This window comes from Homo sapiens, chromosome 7 (genome assembly GCF_000001405.40).
Source record: "Homo sapiens chromosome 7, GRCh38.p14 Primary Assembly".
Taxonomy (NCBI): domain Eukaryota; kingdom Metazoa; phylum Chordata; class Mammalia; order Primates; family Hominidae; genus Homo; species Homo sapiens.
Window position 1 is genome coordinate 15,136,073 of NC_000007.14, and position 25,132 is coordinate 15,161,204.

The 25,132-nt window shown below is 36.2% G+C and overlaps 1 protein-coding gene across 3 annotated transcripts in view; it reads right to left on the reverse strand.

Annotated features, from left to right (window-relative positions):
* Positions 1–25,132, reverse strand: part of AGMO (alkylglycerol monooxygenase) — a 444,793-nt gene that overhangs the window by 18,850 nt on the left and 400,811 nt on the right. The window contains exons 13-16 of one of the 3 annotated variants that reach the window (XR_001744759.1): positions 22,121–22,295; positions 10,595–10,752; positions 9,572–9,688; positions 9,163–9,219 (exon numbers count right to left, since the gene is read on the reverse strand). Coding sequence is in view for 2 of the 3 variants with exons in the window: in XM_011515402.4 (XP_011513704.1) it covers positions 23,341–23,391 (51 nt within the window). In the remaining variant the exon portion in view is untranslated. Of the gene's footprint in view, positions 1–9,162; positions 9,220–9,571; positions 9,689–10,594; positions 10,753–22,108; positions 22,296–22,332; positions 23,392–25,132 lie in introns of those variants that run through there. The other 2 variants (XM_017012204.2, XM_011515402.4) reach the window with 2 other exon arrangements.

The following is a 25,132-nucleotide window of genomic DNA, read 5'->3' on the forward strand; positions in this document are numbered from 1 at the left end:
AACCTCTGCCTCCTGGGTTCAAGCGATTCTCCTGCCTCAGCCTCCCTAGTAGCTGGGATTACAGGCATGTGCCACCACGCCAGGCTAAATTAGTATTTTTAGTAGAGACAGGGTTTCTCCATGTTGGTCAGGCTGGTTTTGAACTCCTGACCTCAGGTGATCTGCTTGCCTCGGCCTCCCAAAGTGCTGGGATTACAGGCATGAGCCACCGCGCCTGGCCTAGTATCATATCTTGATGTGTCACATTGTAAAAAAGGGCTACAAGCTCCCTTACCCTTTCTTGCACCTTTCCTCCCTGCTTTTTATCTCCTAATTACTGTCAGCTGCACTATTCCATTTATATAATCAAGGTATTTACACCCACATTCCTTTCTGCAGTTGAGTCATCATTGCTTTAGCATTGGTTGACTCTAACATCTGTATTTTTTTTTTAAAAGGAGCATTTACATTATTACTAAGATTCCATTCTTCACTAATAGTGTGTTGGTATTATGCTCCTTCTCCATTGGGTCCAAAATCTCAGTCTCTGGAGCACTTGAAAATTGAAGTTTTCTGCATGAAGGAAAAATAACGTGTTTTCTTACAGTTCATAAATTGTTTTATGCCACATTTTTTTTTGCTGTATACGGCAGCAATTAATTCCTAATAGGACCGCCTTTATTGTTGTGTGATGTGTATGTGTGTGTGTGTGTGCACGCGTGCGTATTTAAGAGTCTCTTGGTTTTATTTTCTTCCACTACCTATCTCTTGTCAAGTTTTCCCCCTCCAGAATCCTCCTGTGGGATGGTTTACCTTCTAGATGTGCTATACAGGTGTTCCACAGAGGTTTCCCTACACTGAAATTCTAGCCTAAAGACTGTTCTCTAGGTTCCATGACTTCTTCTCCCTTAGTTTAATTCTTTGGCTTGCCAAATCCTATTTTCATAAGATGCCAATAAGATATTCCAGAGATGTAAGATTCTCTGGTTTTGCATGTCTGAGAATGATTTATTTGTTTACATTCCGCAGTTGGTTGTGAATTTTCTGGTTATAGAAGCCTAGGTTCAAAATTATTTTATCTTAGAATTTGAAAGCCTTCTTCTACAGCCTTCAAGTATTCATGGTTTCTGATATTTCTTACACATTTGTCGGTAACTTGTATCTCTAGAAAGCTTTGCATATTCTTTTCATCAATGCAGTTCAGAAACTTCTGAATGATGTCTACTGGAACGATTACTTTTTTATACGTTTTCCTCAGAAACTCCTGGATACTTTTTATCTGATAATGTATTTTCTTCAGTCATGAAGATTTCTCTTTGATTTTTATTTGTTATTTTTCCCTGTCCATAATTCTTTGATTTCTGTTATTCAAATTGTTAACAGTTTAGTGTTGTACTTTCAGTACTGTAGAGAATTTTGAAGAATAAATTGTTCCTCAGGGATTTGGGGAAAGTTTTAGGGGAAGGAGGGCTTGATAGGAATCCTGAAACAGATGGCAAAGGTTGTGATGCAGTGCTGGTCGAGGTGGACATGTACAATCAAGTGCAGACCAGCATACAAACCAAAGATGGAAGATAATGGATGGGTTGATTTTTTTCATGAAAGAGTTTTATAGCAGAAGATTAGTAGGAATGATGATTCACAAGAACTATTATGATCATGTTGAGGAGGTCCTTGAGTTCAAGCCCCAGAACAAATGTCACCATAGGTAAGGGAATGTCAGTGAATGTTTTTAAGCTAGGGAGTGAAATGACTAAAAGTACATTTAAAAGAGCAGAATCATAGGTTAAGGAGGAGAGAGAGGGTGGAGATGAGGAAACAGGCAATGAAACAATGTAGAAGGCTTTAACTGAAACAAGTGCTCTCCTTGCTTTATTGTTTGCTGAGAACGGCAGTCTCCTCATCACTTCTGAGTCTACAACACTCTCTGGCCCTTTGCTTAAGCCATATCCTGGCCCTCAAAGGCTATTATCCTCGCTTTCCCCCCAAATGATACTGTACACCAACTTCAAATCTACCTCAGCTCTCATGTTCCTCCATTCACTGTCTCACCAGCCCCCCAAAAAGTTAGAATTGCTCTCCCCTCTTGGATGACATTTCCTCTTTTTAGTACATCTATTATTGGTACCTTTAGCTTGCATAACTGTTACTTATTCTGAACCCGTTCCTTTCCAAAGTCCTGGAGACAGAGCACTTTGTTTTATTCTCTTATGTTCAGAAAAACTTCGTGCAATTGAAGTTAGAAAGTAATGGCGAGGTACATTTTGTATACGTCTCACGACTTTACTCTCTCCTGGATGATTTAAGTAGAGTTAAGCACAAAGCATGTAATGTAATTAGATTCCACTGTGCCACTTGGACAGGCTAAATCATAATCCCGACATCCTAAATATTGTTTGTATTCTCAGACAATGATCTGCTGAATCAGTATTCATCAAGTTTAGTGATATAAAATAAGACTTCAATTATCTATGTGAGAAAAATATCCTGCCCAAAAATACATAAAATAACCTGAAAGCGTTTACAACTATCTGCATTTCTAGGCAATACATTGCAGCACATACAATCAAGAGTCAATTAAGCTGAGAGAAGCAGAATAAACCGTTTTCTAAACACCAATGTTTCAATACTTACCCGTTCACAAATAATGTACAGCCTGAGACGGTAACATAATGAGGTCGATCAATAGAAAATTAAATCTTTTTGAATGAAGACAAAATGCCCATGGAGCCTTTACATAATAAAATAAATGTAATGTAAGGCCTGAGTCTATAAATAAAATTCTCAAAAAATTGTAAATTGACTTTTTCATTCAGTTCTTAACAATGTTATTGGGTAGTGTTTGACACATCATAAACATTATGTGTATTTATATACATTACATATATCACATTAGTAACTTATAAAGCTTAATAATAAAATAAATATCCTCCCTGAACTAACCACCCAAATTAAGATCTAGAGCATTCCTGACACCTAAATTTCTATCTGTGTCTTCCTATCTGCTCTTCTTCCTACTCTCAACCAATTAACCACTTTCTGGAATTTTAATTTATCACCCACTTGCCATGTTATTATTCTTATCACATAAAATATGTAACTCCAGGTAACATATACTTCTAACTTTGTTTCTGAGTTCTCTAAAACGGTATTATGGTGTACACTGTTATCTTTGACTTGCTTTATCCACTCCCAATTATTTCTACGTTTCATCCACATTTGGTATATGTAGTTGTTCATTCATTTTTCACTGCTTATATAGTATTCTCCTGAAAATGGGGCTTTTAATTGATTCTGATGTTGTATTCTTTCTTTAACTTTTATCTTAGGTTCCAGGGGACATGTGCAGGTTCGTTATACAGGTAAACTCATGTCATGGAGGTTTGTTGTACAGATTATTTTGTCTCCCAGGTACTAAGCCTGGCGTTCATTAGTTATTTGTCCTACTTCTCTCCCTCCTCCCACTCTCCACCCTTAAGTAGGCCCCCGTGCCTGTAGTTCCCTTTTTTGTGTTCATGAGTTCTCATCATTTAGCTCTCAATTTTTTATTCTTGGTAGTGACATTATAGATTTTTTTTTCTCCTGATGGCCAGGTATTAGAGTTGTTTAGGGGCAAGGAGTTGGTACATATTGAAATAGAATTGCTGGGTCATTTGGTATATGCATGATTAATCTTATGAGATTGTGCCAAATTTCTTTCCAATATATTCCTTTGCACCACTGCACTCCAGCCTGGGCTACAGAGCTGCTAGACCCTATCTCAAAAGACAAAAAAAAAAAAAAAAAAGAATAATACAGTATGTAAGTTAGTGGTGATTCACTTTCCTGCCATTAGTCAGCATTTAACCCAACTATATATAAATACAATGTATAGAATAAATTAAATATATTATATGTTAGAACCTTATAATGGCAGGAAATAGAATACAAGTAGGGATTCAGGCTAAGAAGTAAAACTGGACAAAAAGAGGAGATTTGAACTTGGCAAAAATAAAGTTATAAATTATATATTAACTATAGGAAATAAAATATAAATTATAAAAATATAATATCAAAAGTAAAAAATATGCCATAAAATGTAGAAAAAGTTTCATTCAGGCTTTTGAGACTGAGCTCCAATAAATTAAAGCAATAATGAATACAAATTAATTTGGTTAAGTACACCAAACTAGGTTTATACATATTTTCTCTTAGGAGTCTGAAGGTATTGTTATAACACCTTCATCCATTACTGTTGTTGGCAAACAACTGTCAGTCAAATTAATACTTCTTTGAGGAGATTTGTCTTTTCCCTCTGGCATCTTTTAAGATATTTATTTTTTCTTCTCTGTGTTTCACTACAATGCTATTAGCATAAGTTATTTTTACCTTATCTTTCAATGGTAATAGAAAATATAGTGGTAATCTCTTGAAATGTTTCTTCTCTATCATTTTATTTATTCTGTCTTCATAGGACTCTAATTAGACATATTTCAGGACTTCCATTCTCAAAATATCTTAATCTCGCCTTTACTTTTTTTAATCTCCTTGCTTCCTTGTGCCATATTGTTAGTAATTTCTTCAGATAATATTTTCTAGTTCATCGGTTCTCTCTTCAGTCTAATCTAAACTTCAACCCATATATTAAGGTTTTGATTATTATTTCAAAAATTATGTTTTTCATTCTTAAAGTTTATTTTGGTTCTTTCAAATTTTTGGATTTTTTTACATACTTTTTTGCTAATTGTTCCTTTCTACAATTTTACATTTTTACCTAAACATTTTGCATATGTTTATTTCATATTTTATATATGATAATTCTGATATCTGTAATCCTCAGGGCCCTTAAACAAACACCTGTTTCCTGCTGGTTCTTATTCATGGGTATTTGTTTTCTTGTGTGTTTGGGGCTCTTTGACAATAGGCTTATATTTAGTTGACCTTAGTCAACGACCTTTCAGAGTAAATGTGCATTTTCTCCTCCCAGGAATCAGGGAGCTAACAAATGAGACCAATTTATCTACCTTCTAGGATTCTGGCATTAATTAAATCATCTAAGAACTTTCATCTTGTAAATGGCTCATAGTCCAGTCACCTGATCCTAGTCCTGATGGATTTGACCTGAGGAGAGCCCAACGCCTTGGGAGTGCTTGTAGGACAGGCTGCAGTTTCAGTCTCAACCTCCTTTCCTGTCTTTTTGTGGTTTATGGTTTTGTCTTCTTGGAGACTTCTGATTAATTAACTAATATTAATAGTATAAAACTATGTGTTGGCGGGGCACGGTGGCTCACGTCTGTAATCCCAACACTTTGGGAGGCCGCAGCCGGCAGATTGCCTGAGCTCAGGAGTTTGCAACCAACCTTGGCAAACGATGAAACCACGTCTCTATTAAAATATAAAAAATTAGCCGAGTGTGGTGGCGGGCGCCTGTAGTCCCCCCAGCTACTTGGGAGGCTGAGGCAGGAGAATTGCTTGAACCCGGGAGGCAGCGGTTGCAGTGAGCAGTGATCGTGCCACTGTCCTCCAGCCTGGGTGACAGAGCTAGAATCCGCCTCAAAACAAACAAACAAAACAAAACACAAAAAAACTATGTGTTATGCAAGACCTAGTTTAGTTTTATTTCTCTAAGACCATTAAAGCAACTGCCTGAAATGGAAATGCTGCAGATTTTACCTTATAGATGTTAAAACACCTGATAGGTACTTCCAAGTAAAACTGGCGAATCTATTATTTGGGCTAACTTTGATATTGTCACTAAAATACAAAATTATTTTTTAATATTAAACTTATGTTTTTGTCAAATATTATTCTTTTTTGGTAAATGCCTAGAACTGAGCTAGGATTCTCACTCTGCCAGGTAACACAGCAATTTAAAGAATATGTTTAAAAAATCTATTAAGAAAGGTCACTTCAGCCAGCATTTCTCTTCCTCCCAAAAGATGGGACACTGTGTCTTTGCCTGTAGGCTTAACCTTTTGCTAATTCTCAGAGTCAAACTGCCTGATCCATGAGGTATTCATCGAGCTCTAATACTATACAGTGGGTTTCAGTATCAAGGTCGAGATCTGTCATGTTATTCTTAATCTCTAAGCCTTTATTCACACCGCATTTTGCTAATAATGACATTGTTCCCAATCCACATATTATATAAACTATATATAAGAAATAGCCACTTTTTAATCTTAAATCATCAAATTAAAACTGATTCTAAGCCTCTATCCCACAGGCTTGGTGGGAAATCCAAAGTTAGTTATTATTAGGGCCCCATTATCTTTCAAGGTCCAAGTGAAATATGGCCTGGAGAAAGAAGCAAGACCCACCAACTTATGAACCATAACAGTCATAGCTATAAACATTACTGTACAGCTCTGAAGAGGTTCTTCAGATCTAGAAAGGTTTCTTTTCATGGTTTTCTAGTGATAAAGGAGTACTGTCCTGAGGCAGTGAATTCTGATGTTTATTATTCAGCCTCCATAATTTCTTCTTCTAAACTTTACCTTTGGTGTTGTCTCATTAGTCTTTTCTCTTAATCTTTCAATTTTATCTTTTCTCCTCTACTTATCCTCATAAGCATGTTACCTAATTCCTTTATCCTGAAGCTTTAAGACCTCAAATAGCACAAAAGGATATGTGTCCTGTAAGTGGCTTTTAGTTTTGGTCCAGCAATGCAACCTTCCCTGAAGCTGTGGAATACAAAAGAGCTAGGCTACCTTAGTGAAGTAAGGGAGAATACGAGATTGCCGACAGAAAAGACAGAAGAGATCACCTTGCCACAATCATTTCTGCTAATATATACTTAATATTTATTGAATGTCCGATATGTATTAGAAGTGAAACTAAGAAACTTGCAGTTGTTATCGCATTTAATCCTCACAACCACGTTATGGAATCTAGGTACTATTATCTCCATATTACAAATGAGATACTGAAGCAAAGAGTTTAAATCATAGCTCTTGATCTCACAGTTACTAAACTGAGGAGCCAGGATATAAACCCCAACAATCTGATGATAAATTATATTGCCTTTGTTTATTGATTAGGTTTTTGATTTATTATTTTTCCCTGGTTTCTCTTCTAGTAGCCTGCCTAAATTGCCAATCTCAATTAGCATTAAATATCTTTATTTCTTCTGACAGTTTTCTCCAAGGATTTGGAGTGCTTCTGCTATTGAACGTGAAATTGATGAGTGGAAATCACTGTCTCTTTAGTTGACAGACTTTTCTAAGTCCAACATTTAGTAACAGACAGGCCACTCCACAGAATCCCCTGACGTCATGCATTGTAAATCTGATGGACCAACACGCTGTTATTGCCCTAACATATGTGACATGCTGAGGTGGTGCTCAATTTATCTACCCAATAGATATGGCTAGATTTCTTACCTATCCCTTCTCAAATTCCTTCCCTTTACCATAAACATGGCATGACACACTGGATGCCAACATCTAACTAACTGAACATGCAGACTGTTGTAAACTCAGAGGTACTTTAACAGTAAAAGGCATTTCAGACAATAATAAGTAAATATTTACACTTTAAATATTTGGTGTTTGGTACTATGGGTATATTCAGAAATATTTAAAAACATATTTCCATTCAGTGAAACAAGATGAGCAGACGGAGTTGGCACTGAAGTTTTTGTTTTGTTTTGTTTTGTCTTTTTTTTTTTTTTTTACTTGAAACACATGTAAAACATATACAGCAATAGTTTCTGACACAATAGAACAGCTTGCTCCTTAAAACTTCATGTTTTCTTAGAATGGAAGGAATGATGGTGAGATTTTGAGAATAGCTTTGGTCATCGTGAACAATTCTATTCCAGTACTAATCATTTTGTGAATGCTCAAATAGGATAGATTGCTCAGGAATTAGAAAGCCAGCGCACTGTACATTTCAAAAACTTATAAGTAGCATGCATTGTAAATTATACATTTCAATAGGAATCTTTAAGGTATAAACAGATTATCACAACACATGTATTTGGTGGTGTTGACAATCATTGACCTATTGAACTATTTTAAATTTTTACTAGTTGGCCACTATAAAAAGATATGCATCAGTGTTAAATCTGAATATCATATTTACAAATATTTGTCTTTCAAATGCACAAACCTGTCAGACCAGAAAGGCAATTAGATTCTGTGGGTTTTTTTTCTTAAGTCTAGAAACTTAGCTAACATTGGTGTTATTAGGCAGATGAGTATGCCTAATATATTCAGTCAAATATTTTATAAGGTAATCCAAAAAAAATGCACAGGTCTGACTTTTTCAATAGCATCATACAATCTTTGATTTATACAGAACAATGATGTTTTAATTACTTAAATATTAGAATACTTTTCCCAATCTTTCTGACAGAGTAGAAACTGAAAAATTAAAAAATAGTAATTAAATACCTCAAGTGTTTGTTTACCTGTTACCCAGAAAAGTATAAGAAATGCAAATGAGAAAAATAAGTCAAAAAAGGTGTGTGAAGAGGATTTTTCAGAAATCCCTAACATCTTAATACGTGTACGTGTATAGAGAATGGTACTTAAGTATGCGCATGCACGTTTTTAGTCAGGAGCAATAAATGCTTCCAAGGTACATTATATTTACCTCTAGTTGCACTTCTTCAGTTGTAATGATATGTTACATGGCTGTCTGCCCTTGCCGCTTTACAGCAGGCTACAAAGTTTAAATTACATCACCATTTAAATGTTAAGATGTTCTGTATACATACTGGTGTTAGGAATTATGTCTGTGTCTGATTTCCAGTGGAGGCAGAACAAGTGGCGTAACTTTTCTTTTTGTTTGTTTGTTTTTGTTGTTGTTGTTGAGACGGAGTCTCGCTCTGCCGCCCAGGCTGGAGTGCAGTGGTGCGATCTCTGCTCACTGCAAGCTCCGCCTTCCGGGTTCACGCCATTCTCCTGCCTCAGCCTCCCGAGTAGCTGGGACTACAGGCGCCCGCCGCCACGCTTTGCTAATTTTTTTATTTTTAGTAGGGACGGGGTTTCACCGTGTTAGCCAGGATGGGCTCGATTTCCTGACCTTGTGATCCGCCCGCCTCGGCCCCGCAAAGTGCTGGGATTACAGGCGTGAGCCGCTGCGCCCGGCCGGCGTTAAGTTTATTTTCATCAATAGCGTCAAAATATCACCTGCCTATTGCCCTATACTTTTGAAAAAAGATGAGGTAAAATAGTAAATAAATGTATTATGTCTTACCATTTTCAACTTGCTTCCTACTAATAGTATTTGAAAAGGTACTTGCTTCCTGAATGCCTGCAAAATGAAGAATGATTATAAAAATCCTATAAAATAAAATAGCACACAGTTATTTAAAGATATTTAAAATAAATGAAAATACTCTTATAGTATGAATACAATAAAACTAAATGAAAATACTGTCTTATAGTATGAATACAATAAAAATTGACTATCTTCATAAATATGTAGATATGTAGATACATAAGCTTATATGTTCAAAGTAAATAACAGAATAGAAATATATCAAGATATTAATGATGACTATCTCAAGATGGCAGTATTATCGGTAATTGTTTTTACTGTATTTTTGGTATTTTTAACCCATTAAACCCTAGTGTTTTAAAGGAAAAATAAATTGTATTTTTACCTTATTTTAAATTACTTTTCACCTTTCACGTATTTCCTTAAACTTCACAATGTCAACCTCCATTATGCTCACAGTAGAAGATATAAAGATTATTACCCGTAGGTTTTTGAGGATATTCTGTAACAGAAATTTAATCATCATTACACAATTACGCCATACAAATTGAATAATATAACCTGTATCTACTTTCTTCCAAAGCAGAGCAAATTAGAAAACTCTAATTTCATCTTCAAATGTTTGGTATAGTATGTTTTAAAGTATTGTTTATCATTATCTCAAAGGCAAGTTTATGTTAGCAATGAAGCGGAAGGTATTTGATTGTTAAAATGTTTACGCAATTATGTTTTACTTAAGAAAATTAAACAATTTTTATTCATGGAATGAGTTGATTTATTCAGTGCATTTTAATATTAAAAACTAACGAAACAGATCTAATCCTTCACTCAAAGTGTAGCTAACAAATAAAAATCTGCTATAGCACAGTTAATAATAACCACATGGTTAATTCTATACACCTTTATAATATTTGAAATATAACCATTTAATCTTATCAAGTTATGTTATAAAATATGTATTTTCAGATTCTTGGAAATCAATTCTGAAAGGTTAATATTTTCTTATTGTAAATTTAGCTTATTCAGAAACGGGTTTCTTAAAGTAAGAATGTACATAATTTATATATGAAACACTGGGCTTAATGTATGGCTCAAATATTGTAATCCCAAATGAATTACCCAAAGAAAGAAAAATGTGATAGAATTATTAGGGTTGCATGAAAACTAGGCTTAAATATTGTGTAACTTAATCATTTCCTAGGCCTAGCTCTACAGAATACGAAGTGATTTTGTCTAGACAAAGGAAGCAATCAGCTATTTTTTTTTTTTTGGTCAAAGTACCAAAGTACTCTTTGTTAAAATGAAGTAATTATGTATGTTAGTTGTCTTAGCTGAGTCTCCATTCCAGTTTTATTAAAACTAAAACCAACAAGCATTCTCTATTTTTCTTGTTATTACTTAAAGTTACCTGTACATTGGACAGGGCACGAGAATTTAACCTTTAAAGTACATGCTTTCTTTTTGGAGGACAAATGCTTCACAGATGCAAGTATCACCATAAAACATTCCCTGCAGATTGCTCTAGTGCATTCATGATCATGGCATCATCTTCTGAAACAGTAGCATCTCAAAATCAGTGAAATATTGACAGCATAAAAAGTAGCTAACACTATATTCAGTGAAATGTAAAGATTTAAACAGTGTTTACAGTAATGAGTTTCAGTGTGCCAATAAATTAACATATGTATTTTTTATAACCACTTTATTATTTAGGATATACATTTCACGAAATGTTAAAATATATACACAAAACAAAAAACAAAAAAACCCACAATGGCTTAAAGAATAGTAAAGTGCTCTGCCATGTCTGAGGTCCCAGCTTCTCCCTTCTTGTTGCTTGGCCTTCTCTGGGGTCCCTCCTCCTCAGGGTCCAAGGTGGCTCATGGTTCAGGACCACATGCCAACCTTAGAAGAAGTGGGAGGGGCAGTCAATGGCACCCTCCTGTCTTTTATAGACACATCCTGGAAATTGTACCCTGTATTAGTCTGTTCTCACGCTGCTAATAAAGACATATCCGAGACTGGGTAATTTATAAAGGAAAGAGGTTTAATGGACTCAGTTAAGTCCACAGTTCTAGATAGCTGGAGAGGCCTCACAATCATGGCGGAAGATGAAGGATAAGCAAAGGGACATCTTACATGGTGGCAGGCGAGAGAGAGGACGTGTAGGGGAACTCCTCTTCATAAAACCATTAGATCTTGTGAGACTTATTCACTATCCCAAGAAGAGCATAAGACCCGCCTCCACGATTCAGTTACCTCCCACCCCATGACACGTGGGAATTATGGGAGCTACAATTCAAGATGAGATTTGGGTGGGGACACAGCCAAACCATACCATACCCATTATCTTTTAATGGATTTCCTTGGCCAGAACTTAAATTTCAGAGCTACAGCCAACTACCAAGGAGACTGAAAAATGTAGGCTCCATTTTGGGTGGCTGTGTGACTAGTTAAAAATAAGGAACTCTGTCTCTATCAAAGAGGGAAAAATATATACCAAGAGAAACCTAGTAGCCTCTGCCATAGTCAGACGTACACAGACTGTAAAAGGCAAGTCCCTGAAAAATTGTAATGGTAAAAAAAATACTGAAACATAAAATCATGTCTTGATTTGGAGATTATACCTGCACTAGCCTAAGCATTATTATTTTGACTATTATTCAATATAAAATATGCTTGTCATAACTTCAAATTCAGGTGTCAATTTTGGAATATTTTCCAATCACTTAAGAGGAGCGGCTCAAACTAAAGCAAAACAGTCTTGCTCAGTGGTAAAGTGTATTAGAAGGAATCAATTATTAATAGTATTAATTTTATTTTTAAAATACTTACTATTTATTTAGACTTAGTTAACATTTTCCATATTTGTTTTACTACTCCTTTTTATATTTTGGACCTTCTTGGTGGAATTATTCTCCTTCTGCCTAAAGTACATATTTTAGATTTTTCTGTTAGGGTAGATTTGTTAGTTAGTGGTAAATCTCTTATGAGTAAAATGTATTTTGCTCTTATTCTTCAAAGATAGGTTTGTGGACATAGAGTTCTAGGTTTACAGTTATTTTCTATTTTTTTCAACTTTTATTTTAGGTTCAATGAGTTCATGTTCAGGTTTGCTACATGGGTAAATTGCATGTCGCTGGGGTTTGGTGTACAAGTGATTTCATCACCCAGGTAGTGAGCATGGTACCCTGTACATAGTTTTTTGACCCTCATCCTCCTCCCATGGACCACCCTCAAGTGGGCCCTGGAATCCATTGTTCCTCTCTTTATGTTCATGTGTACTCAAGGTTTAGTTCCCACTTATAAGTGGGAATTCATGCACTATTTGGTTTTCTGTCCTTTTGTTAATTTGCTTAGGATACTGACTGCATCCATGTTGCAAAGGACATGATTCCATTTCTTATGGCTGCATAGTATTCCATGGTGTATACGTAGCATATTTTCTTTATCCAGTCCACTGTTGATGAGCAGCTAGGCTGATTCCATGTCTTTGCTATTATGAATAGTGCTAGGATTAACATAGAAGTGCATGTGTCTTTTTGGTAAAACAATGTATATTTTGGGGAGTATATACCCAGGAATTGGATTAGTGGGTCAAATGGTGGTTCTATTTCTTTGAGAAAACTCCGAACTGCTGTCCACGGTGGGTAAAATTATTAACATTCTCACTAGCATATATAAACATTCCCTTTTCTCCACAATCTCAGCTCGCTAACACCTGTTATTTTCTGACTTTTTAATCACAGCCATTCTAACCAGTGTGAGATAGTATCTTATTGTGATTTTGATTTGCATTTCCCTAATGATTAGTGATGTTGAGAATTATTTCATATGCATTTTCCATGTATATGTCTTTTTTTGAGAAATGTCTATTCATGTCCTTTGCACACTTTTTTAAATGAAGTCATTTGTTTTGGCTTGTTGATTTAACTTCTTCATATATTCTGGATAGTGGACCTTTGTTGAATGCATGGTTTGTAAATATTTTCTCCCATTCTGTAGGTTGTGTGTTTACTCTGTTGATCACTTCTTTTAGCATGCAGAAGTTCTTTAGTGTAATTAGGCCCCACTTATCTATTTTGTTTATGTTGCAATTACTTTTGGAGACTTCACCATGAAATCCTTGCCAAGGCCTACATCCACAAAAATATTTTCTAGTTTTTCTTCTAGGGTTTATATAGTTGTAGGTCTTACATTTAAGCTTTTAATCTATCATGAGTTGATTTTATTATATGGTGAAAGGAAGGGATCCAGTTTTAATCTGCATATGTTTAGCTAGTTATCACGTACCGTTTATTGACTAGGGAGTCTTTTCCCCTATTGCTTACTATTGTCCATTTTGTCAAAGATCAGATAGTTGTAAATGTGTGGCTTTATTTCTGGGTTCTCTAACCTGTTCTATTGGTCTATGTGTCTGTTTTTGTACCAGTACCATGCTGTTTTGGTTATTACAGCCTTGTAGTATAGTTTGGAGACAGGTAGTGTCATGCCTCCAGCTTTGTTCTTTTTGCTTAGGACTGCTTTGGCTATTTGGGCTCTTCTTTGGTTTTATATGTATTTTAGAATAGTTTTCCTTAATTCTGTGAAAAAAATGATGTTGGTAATTTGATAGGAATAACATTGAATCTGTAAATTGCTTCAGGCAATATGGACATTTTAACAAAATTGATTATTCCTATCTTAGAGCATGGAATGTTTTTCCATTTGTTTGTGTCATCTCTGATTTGTTTCATTAGGGTTTAGATCTTTCACCTTCCTGGTTAGCTGCATTTTTAGGTATTTTATTCTTTTTGTGGTTATTATGAATGGGATTGCATTCTTGATTTGGCCCTCAGCTTGGACATTATTGGTCCAAGTAGCATAGAAATGCTACTGATTTTTCTATATTTATTTTGTACCCTGAAGCTTTACTGAAGTTGTTTTTCAGTTGTAGGAGCCTTTGGGTAGACTATGAGGTTTCCTAGGTACAGAGTCATATCATCTGTGAAGAGAGATAGTTTTACTTCCTCTCTTCCTATTTGGATGTCTTTTATTTATCTTGCCTGATTGCTCTGGCTAGGACTTCCAGTAGTATGATAAATAGGAATGAATGCTGAGAAGGCACATTCTTGTCTTATTCCTGTTTTCTGGGGGAATGCTTCCAGCTTTTGCCCATTTAGTATGATGTTGGCTGTGGTTTTGTCATAGATGGCTCTTATTATTTTGAGGTATGTTCCTTCAATGGCTAGTTTGTTGAGGGTTTTTAACATAAAAGGATGTTGAATTTTATTGAAAGCCTTTTTGTGCATCTATCGAGATCAAGTGGTTTTTGTTTTTAGCTCTGCTTATGTGATGAAGCACATTTATTGATTTGCATACATTGAAACAACCTTGCATCTCAGGAATAAAGCCTACCTGATCATGGTGAATTAGCTTTTTAATGTACAGCTGGATTTGATTGGCTACTATTTTATTGAGGATTTTTGTGCCTATGTTCATCAGGGAAAACAGCTTGAAGTTTGCTTTTCTTTTTGTGTCTCTGCCAGGTTTTGTTAGTATCAGAATGATGCTGGCCTCATCAGAATGATTCATAGGATGAATTAGGAGATAGTCCCTCCTCCTTGATTTTTTTGGAAACATGTCAGTAGTATTGGTACCAGTTCTTCTTTATATGTCTGGTAGAATTTGGCTGTGAATTTTCTGGCCCAGTGCTTTCTCTGGTTGGTACATTTTTATTAGTGCTTCGATTTCACAATTAGTTATTGGTCTGTTCAGGATTATAATTTCTTCCCTGGTTCAGTCTTGGGAGGTTGTATATCTCTGGGAATGTATTTATTTCTTACAGGTTCTCTAGTTCGTGTGCACAGAAGTGTTCACAATAGTCTCTAAGTTTTGTTTGTTTGTTTTGTCCTGTTGGGACAGTGATAATTTCTGCATTGTCATTTATAATCATGTTTATTTGAATCTTCTCTATTTTTTCTTTATTAATCAAGCTAATGGGCAATCCATCTTATTTATTCATTCAAAGAACAAACTTTTCGTTTCAGTGATCTTTTGTATGGATTTTTGGATCTCATTTGTGTTCAGTTCATCGCTCGTTTTGGTTTTCTTTTTTTCTGCTAGCTTTGGGGTTGGTTTGCTCTTGTTTTCTAAGTTCCCCTAGGTGTGATGTTAGATTTGAGATCTTTCTAACTTCTTTCTGTAGGTGTTCAGCACAATAAACTTTCAACACTGCTTTTGCAGTATCTAAGAGATTCTGGTATATTGTACTTTGTTTTCATTAGTTTTAAAGAATTTTTTTCTGTTTTAATTTAATTGTTTATGCAAAAGTAATTCAGAAGCAGGTTGTTTAATTTCCATGTAATTGTATGGTTTTGAGAAATATTCCTGGTGTTGATTTCTATTTTCATTGTGTCGTGATGTGAGAGTGTGATTTGCAGGATTTGGGTCTTTTTAAAAATCTGTTGGGAATTGCTTTATGGCAGAACATATGGTCCACTTCAGAATATGTGGTGTGTGCACATGGGAAGAATGTGTATTCTTTTGTTGAGTTATGTATTCTGCAGATATTTGTTAGGTCCATTTGGTCAGGGTTGACTTTAGGTCCCTAACATATCTGTTAGTTTTCTGTTTCAATGATCTATCTAACACTGTTAGTGGTCTTTTAGGTCTGTGATTCTTTCTTCAGGTTAGTCTATTCTGTTTTTAGTGCTTCCAATTGCATTCTGAAATTTCTGTAGCAGGGAGCTGAAATATCCCAAATATTGTCTAGTTATTTAAGTCTCTTCGTAGGTCTATAAGAACTTCTCTAATGAATTTGGGTGCTCCAGTGTTGGGTGCATATATAGTTAAGATAGTTAAATCTTCTTTTGAATTGAACCTTTTATTATTATGTAATGCAATACCCTTCTTTGTCCTTTAGATCATGGTTGGTTTAAAGTCTGTTTTGTGTGAAATAAAAATAGCAACACTCTTTTTTTGTTTTGTTTTTGTTTTCTTTTAAAATTTTTATGTATATTTGAACAGACAGAAATTCATGAATTGGGCAGCATCAAACTGTAAGCAGTTCAGGGCGGCACTGAAGGTGTGCAATGGTAAAAGGTTTTTTGAATTTATTTTTTATTTCAATAAGTTTTTGGGGAACAAGTGATGTTTGATTACATGAATAAGTTCATGTAAGATTTTGGTGCACCCATCACCCAAGCAGTGCACATTGTACCCAGTGCGTAGTCTAGTCTTTTGTCTCTCAACCCCCTCCCACCCTTTCACCTGACTTTCCAAAGTCCATTGTTTAATTAGTATGTCTTTTCATCCTCATAGCTTAACTCCCAATTATGAGTGAGAATATATGATGTTTGACTTTTCATTCCCGAGTTACTTAACTTAAAATAATAGTCTCCAATTTCATCCAGGTTGCTGTGAATGCCATTATTTCATTCCTACTTATGGCTGAGTGGTATTCCATGATATAAATATACAACATTTTCTTTATCCACTCATTGATTAATGGGCATTTGGGCTGGTTCCGTATTTTTGCAATTGCAAACTATGCTGCTATAAAGGTGTGTATGCAAGTATCTTTTTTGTATAATGACTTCTTTTTCTCTAGGTAGATACCTAGTAGTGGGATTGCTGGATCAAATGACAGATCTACTTTTAGTACTTTAAGGAGTCTCCACACTGCTTTCCATAGTTGTTTTACTAGTTTGCATTCTCACCAACAGTGTAAAAGTGTTCCCTTTTCACCACATCCACAGCAACATCTATTATTTTTTGATTATGGCCATTCTTTCAGGAGTGAGGTAGTATCATGTTGTGGTTTTGATTTGGATTTCTCTGATAATTAGTGATGTTAAGCATTTTTCCATATGTTTGTTGGCCCCTTGTATATCTTCTTTTGAGAATTGTCTATTCATATCCTTAGCTTGGTTTTTGATAGGATTGTTTTTTTTTTTCTTTTCTTGCTGATTTGTTTAAACTCTTTGTAGATTGTGCATATTAGTCCTTTGTCAGATATACAGATTGTGAAGATTTTCTCCCAAACTGTAGTTATCTGTTAGCTCTGATGATGATTTCTTCTCCTTTGCAGGAGCATTTTAGTTTAATTAAGTTCCATATATTTATCTTTATTTTTGTTGCATTTGCTTTTGTGTTTTTAATCATGAAGCCTTTGCTTAAGCCAAAGGCTAGAAGGGTTTTTCCAATGTTATCTTCCAGAATGTTTATGATTTGGGGTCTTAGATTGAAGTCTTTGATCCATTTTGAGTTGATTTTTGTATAAGGTAAGAGATACGGATCCAGTTTCATTCTTCTGCATGTGGCTTGTCAATTATCCCAGCACCATTTGTTGAATAGGGTGTCCTTTCCCCATTTTATGTTTTTGTTTGCTTTGCTGAAGATCAGTTGACTGTAAGCATTTGTGTTTATTTCTGGGTTCTCTATTCTATTGGCATATGTGCCTATTTTTATACCAGAACCATGCTGTTTTGGTGACTATGGCCTTAAAGTATAGTTTGAAATCGGGTAATGTAATGCCTCCAGATTTACTCTTTTTGCTTAGTCTTGCTTTTGGCTATGCAAGCTATTTTTTGGTTCCATATGAATGCTACATTTTTTTTCTAGTTATGTGAAGAATAATGGTGGTATTTTGACGGTGGTATTTGATGGACACTGAATTTGTAGATTACTTTTGGCAATACAGTCATTTTCACAATATTGATTCTATCCATCCATGAGGAGGCCCACTTGCACTACTTCTATTCAACATAGAACCAGAAGTCCTAGCCAGATCAATCAAACAAGAGAAATAAATCAAAGGCATCCAAATTGGTAAAGAGGAAATCAAACTGTTACTGTTTGCTGATGATATGATCATATACCTAGAAAACCCTAAAGATTCATCCAAAAAGCTCCTAGAACTGGTAAATGAATTCAGCAAAGTTTCAAAATAGAAAATTAATGTACACAAATTAGTAGCTCTGCTATATATCAACAGTGACCAAGCTGAGAATCAAATCAAGAACTCAACCCCTTTTACAATAGCTGCAAAAAATAATAATAAAATACTTAGGAATATACCTAAGCAAAGAGGTGCAAGATTTCTACAAGGAAAACTCCAAAATACTGCTGAAAGGAATCATAGATGACACAAACAAATGAAAACACATCCCATGCTCATGGATAGCAACACTCTCTTTTGGTTTTCATTTGCTTGATAGATCTTTCTCCATCCATTTACTTTGAGCCTTTGGGTGTCCTTGCATCTGAGATAGGTCTCTTCAAGACAGCATTCAGTTGGGTCTTGCTTCTTTATCTAACTTCCACTCTGTGTCTTTTAAGTGGTACATTTAGCCAATATACATTCAAGGTTAATCTTGATATGTGAAGATTTGATCATGTGATGGTGCTGTTAGCTGGTTGTTATATAGACTTGATTATATAGTTGCTTTATAGTGTCGGTGAGCTATGTACTAGGCCACTGGAGCTGGCAGGTATTCATCTTTTGTTTGTATGTTTAGCAATTCCTTAAGGATCTCTTGTAAGGCAGGTCTGGTGGTAACAAATTTCCTTAGCATTTTCTGGTATGAAAGGATTTTATTTGTCCTTCACCTATAAAGCTTAGGTTGGCCAGATATGAAATTCTTGGTTGGAATTTCTTTTCTTTAAAGATGCTGAATATAGGCTTCTAATATCTTCTGCCTTTTAGGGGTTTTGATCAAAACTCCACTGTTACCCTGATGGGGTTCTCTTTGTATGTGATCTGCCCCTTTTCTCTAGCTGCCTTTCAGATTTTTTCTTTCACATTGACTTTGTAGAATCTGATGACTATGTGTCTTGGGGATGGTTATATTGTATTGCATATTGAAAAGGTTCCCTGAATTTCCTGAATTTGTATTCAGCCTCTCTAGAGAGACTGGGAAAATTTTCATGGACAGTATCCTCAAATATGGTTTCCAAGTTGCTCACTCTCTCTCCATGTCTTTCAGGAATACCAATGAGTCTCAGCTTTGGTCTCTTTACATAATCCTATATTTCCTGGAGGTTTTGCTGCATTAAAAAATTTTTTTCTTTATTTTTATCTGCCTATGTTGATTCGAAGAAGCAGTCTTCTAGCTCTGAGATCCTTCCTCAGGTTGGTCTATTCTATTATTAATGCTTCCAATTGCATTACAGAATTTCTTTTTTTTTTTTTTTTTTTTTTTTTTTTTTGCATTCTGAAATTCCTGTTGTGAATTTTTCACTTCCAGACATTCAGTTTGGCTCTTTATTAAAATGGCTACATCATCTTTCAACAATTATACTGTTTTACTATTTTCCTTGGATTGGGTTTCAACCTTCTTTTATATCTTGATGAGCTTCTTTGGCATCCAGATTCTGAATTCTGTGTTTGTCATTTAATCTATTTCAATCTGGTTAAAAACCATTGCCGGGGAGATAGTGCGGTCATTTGGAGGTAAAAAGACACTCTGGCTTTCAGAGTTGCCAGAGTTCTTGCACTGGTTGTTTCTCATCTGTGTGGGCCGATGTTCCTTTAATTTTTGAAGTGGCTGTCTTTTGTATGGGGCATTTTGCTTTTATATTCTTTGATGCCCTTGAGGGTTTGAGTGTGGAATAAGTTGCCTTTAGTTTATTTGCTTTGTTTCTGGATACTTTCAGGCAGCCAAGGCTCAGCCCAGCACTCCTGAGCTACATGCTCTAACCCTGAGGAGTTGTAACCAGGACTCTGTCTTTGTCCTCTAGCCCCTCAAGGTGAAGCACCTGCTGTGCTAGAGGGGTTGAGGTATTCCCAGGCTATTGGCAACTACGCTCTAATGGGGGCTGCTGGTAATAGTGCTCCAGTGAGGGGTGGGGGGTCCTTGTACATATGCACACCAGTAGAGTGGCAGGGAGTCCATGTGTGCATGCGCACCAGCAAGGTGATGGCGGGAGGCTATGGGCAAGTGCACACTGGCAGGGAAAGGCTGTTGGTGAGTATGCACTGGCAGGGGTCCATCTGCAAAAATATTGTAGTGCTTAGGCGAGATCTGCCAGTGAAAGAGCTATGGCAGTGGCTGCTGGCAAGCTGAGGCTGTGCAGCAAGCAAGTGTAATTAGGCATTAACCCTGGGAGAGGCTGGCGGATAGGGGGTGCTCAGATCAGACTGGCCCCCTCCCACGGGCAAGACACCCCTGTTCTATCCAGTTCCAGCAGCCAATACAAGCTAGAGCCTTGGGGCATGGGCACCCATGGCTGTGCTCAAACCCTCTGGGCTTAATGCAGGCTGGAGTTCTGTCTCTGCCAACTCCCCAGACAGTTCTTGCCAGATCAGATGTTCTTGGGGGCTGTGGAATCTCCTGCAGCTAGGATCCTGGAGGTCAATGATGAGAGTAAGCCACTCCACTTTTGTGTCATTTACTGCTTCTCTAGGAGCCACTCAGGGCCAGGAACAAGTCTTCATGCTCGGCAACCACATGCAGTGTTGGTAGCTTCCTCACCTTTCAGCTTGGGGTCTGTATCCTCCCTCTGTCCACTCTCAGTGCCTTCTTTCCAAAGATCTGTTTGGAGTGCACCAATCTATTTCATGGCCCAGTCTCTCTCAGTGGAAAAAGCTCTTCTTAGCTCCATCTAGTCAGCCATCTTGGCTCTCCACCTTACAAATATTTTCTTTCAGCACATTGAACATATTATTTCTTTGTTTTCTATTGGCTTTCAAAGTTTCTACTACAAAGTCAGCCATCTAATTATTGTTCCTTTTAAGTAGGCTGATTATTTTTTCTGGCCATTAAATCATTAAGACAACAAATAGCACCGTAGTTTATTGCAGATTTAGAATTATTTCTACAATTATATCACAATCATTCACTTGAATTGCGGTCTACTTTATTATTATTAATAATAACACTAGTAACAAACATTTACTATGTGCCTGACAGTCTGGCAAAAAAACACCCTACCTTATTTATCAGGTTCAGTTCTCACAGCAATCCTTTGAAGCAGGCACTCTTACTCTCTCTTTTATCAAATGAGGAAGGACCATGAGGCTTAGGAGGGTAAGATACCTTCCCAGATCACACAACTAGTAAGAAAGAGGGTAGGAGAGTAAAGAGTGGAGTGACAGGGAGTTAACACAACTGTGATCAGCCCATGAGGGCAGAGTATGTGTTATGTAAATAAAAATTATCTAACATCTGAGGGGAAGAAGAGGGCTGCATTTTGTACGTGTCAACTTGGCTAAGCTGGAGGTATCTGCAGGTACATTCAAGTTTGCCTTGCTATTTCTTACTCAGCGTCCCACTCTCTTTTTGCCAGGCTGCAGGTCCTGGTGATAAACAGTGAACCCCGATCCCACACTCCCACCCCTGTAGACACAGAGGCAACAGCCTTGAAGAGACTTATCCCAACTCATCTTCCCTTTGTTTGTCTCACCTCCAAAGGGGGACAAGCCTGGCTTTCCAGATTATCTGCAAGCTTCTAACCTCCCATCCAGGTTCAAGCTTGCTGGTGACTTCTCAAATCCTCCACATCTTATTTCTCGACCTTATTTCTCTGTACTTCTCACAATTGTGTAAGGTCTAACTCCTCTCATAAATTCCTTCTGTAATACTTGCAATAATTCCATTTCTCTGATTGAAACCTGACTGAACACAGAAAGGATGTAGCTTTTAAAAATACTGCTCGAGTGTTTCAAAAACTTACTTGTGAGTGCTAGTTGAAATGCAGATTCTGGGGCTCTTGCCTTGAATATTCTGGTTGCTAAGCAGGATCCCATTTTTATTTTCAGGGGCTCTAGGCACTATTATATTCAATAGATTCTTTTATCCGTAAAAATATTAAATATTATATTTTATGACTGTATTGATATAAAGACAAATATAATTGAGGATGGATTATATTTGTTCTTCAGATTTCAAAAGAAATTAGTGCATTTTTTTAGATCCCTAAAAGTTCCATGAACCCTAGGCACCATACCTACCGTGGCTAATGAAGAACTTGGCTCTGTTACTAGGTTTGGATTGGGGTTCAGGAATATGCATCTAGCAACCTCCCTTGGCAATTGTTCTCATTAGGCAAGTGTGAGCAGCACTGCTATAGGACACGGGTGTTTCAGGACCTCAGGAAGTCTCTGTGATCACATTCTAAAAGAGAAACTATGAAAAACAACCTTTACATTTGTGAGGAGCACAACTGCAGGGAAACACTTTTTAAAAGGTGTAACAACAACAACATATAATGTCAACAAAAACAAAACCTAGCAGCCAAAAATATTTCACCTCAACTTTGCTCATTACTCATTTGGTTTTTCAGGTTTTGTTTTTTCCCATGCATGAGTCTTACTGTGGAATCACAATAGCATTCATGCAAAGGAAATAGTTTCATGCCAATGAATATGTCTTGTGAGCCCCTGGGAATTAAGGCCCAAAGGCACAGAGAACTTACAATAAACTAGGTCCATTCATAAAGCAGAATCGTTCAGTCTGTTGTGCTTATAAAGCCCCAGCATAGAATTGATTGCCTCTTATTTGTTTCCTGTCTCTGAATTAAATTTTAATCTCCTTTCTAGAGGGAGATAAATTGTATAATGTATGTCAGGACTTAGGACAGTGTTTTAATCAGTGTGTACTCCTCAAAAAAAATAAAGATAAAAATCAAGGCTGCAAGTAAATTTTATTTTGTCCTTAAAAATAAATACAAAATGTTGAGCAAAGGCAAGTATCCAGAATTGGATTCCATGTTGCTATTTTTGGGGTTGGGGTGAGGGGTAGATAAAACTACATTCTCTTAAGCAACTAATATGTGTATATCTCTTATACACATATTAGTTTCTCATAATATATCAAGAAACAAGATAATCAAGAAACAAGATTGTTTCTTGATTATATTCTCTTTGTATTTTATTCCAAATAACACCCCATGTGTTACCACAAAAGTACAGGTCCCTCAACAATGACTGATTGTGCACAATGAAAGAAGAAAAACTTGAGATACACTGTTAAAATATATTTTTAGTTATTCAAGGGGATAGGGAAATGTAAGAAACCTATTTATGATGAGGCAAACTTTGCAGACCTTGGTTGAAATAAACTTTTCAAATATCTCAAAGTTTTAGTCGGATAAAAATCTTTAAGCTCTACAGAAGTGGTAAAAGACAGTGCAGAGATTGATTGCTTTGTTTTTAATTCTTCTGCTGAGATTTCAGTTCTTCTGTTTCTTCTCACTGCATGCTCCTAGGGCATGAGTCCAGGACTGGAAAAGAACACAGGGTTACTACTTTCTCCCTAGGCTCATTCTCATTTAGAATGTACATTTAAAAAATAATTCTGTCATTGCCTTTCCTAGGGAAAACAGGAACTAAGCAAGAAAGCTTTAAAGGAGTAAGCACAACATGAAAGAATCTGTACCAACATCAATCTGAGGCATGTGGCTGTCCCACTGTCACAATATATAGAGGGAATACTAACAGGCTGCAAATGGGACAGGATAATACTTTCAAAGATATTCCAGTTGCTTCAACTTTGCTAATTTGTGAATTCTCAGAAAAAATATTTCAAAGCATACTATAAATAAGATTTTCTACATGCGATTCTCAAGGTCCAATCGGTCCATTCATTTGCTTCTAGTGACAAAGGTCCTGCATATTGTGTGGTCTCTTCTTATGATCCCTACACCCATATTATTCCTCCAGAATTCTCAGATCCGATGTATTTCTCTGCCAGAACATGCTTAAACTTGTTTTTTGCCTACTGGGCACTGGAAGCTAAAAGTGCTGCTTCACTTTTATTTATCCAGCCACCACCTTGGTGAATGCTAATATATCACTTTTGCACTATATTGGATAATGGAGCTGAGCCAAATCCCAAAGTTCTCTTGGAAACATACAGGTAATCTCATGCTAGAAGAAGAGGACTTCTCATACATGTTGATATTTTCATAGCACCCTTAAACTTCAAGGGGATTGATCACGGAACAGCGAGAAGTAGGAATTTTAACATTAACACCTGACCTTCCGTCACTACTATTTCCTTCTTCTTCATATACCACACAAGGGGCAGAAGGATTTCTCCCTTTCTCATTGGCAGAGATTTCATTTATGACAAATTCTTAATTGTGTTCATCTAATTTTATAGTAACTTTGATAGTAAATTTTGTCAGGCCTGTGTCTGATACAAAGAAGTATTAAAAACTATAAAATGTAAATCCGTAATGACTTAATATTCCCAAAATATTATTAACGAGAACTGTATATTTGTATTATCTGGGTCTATCTGTCTATATACGATTTGTCCATCTTTTTTTTTCCATTCATCTATTTGTCTATAAATCTGATCTACCTAAATGTACACATATGAAGTAACAAAACTTAAAAGGATATAATTTAATATATCTGAAAATTAATAAACTACCATAAATTCCATATGGAAAGGAACAATAATGCAAATCTATTTATAATTATCCAGTATGGTCATTCAAAAATATTTATTAGTCACCTACTTTGATGGTTAATTTCATGTGTCAAATAGGTTAGGCCATGGAACCCAGGTATTTGGTCAAATGCTAGTATAACTATTGCTGTGAAAGTATTTTTTAGATGAGATTTATCTTAATGCACTCTGTGCTGCTATAAAAGAATGCATGAGGCTGAGTAATTTACAATGAACAAAAATTTATTTCCCACAGTTCTGGAGGAGGGAAGTACAAGATCAAAAAGCAAGCAACTGACAAGGGGCTTCATGCTACATCATCTCATGGATGAAGGCAGAAGGGCAAAAGAGTGAAAGAGAGATAGAAAACAGAATGAAACTCATCCTTTTATAGGGAACCCACTTGCACAATAATGAACCCACTCCTGTCATAATGGCATTAATCCATTAATGAGGGCAGAGCCCTCATAGCCTAATCACCTCTCATTAGGCCACACATCCTAACACTGTTGCACTGGAGATTAAGATTCCAACAAATGCTTTTGAGGGACACATCCAAATCACAA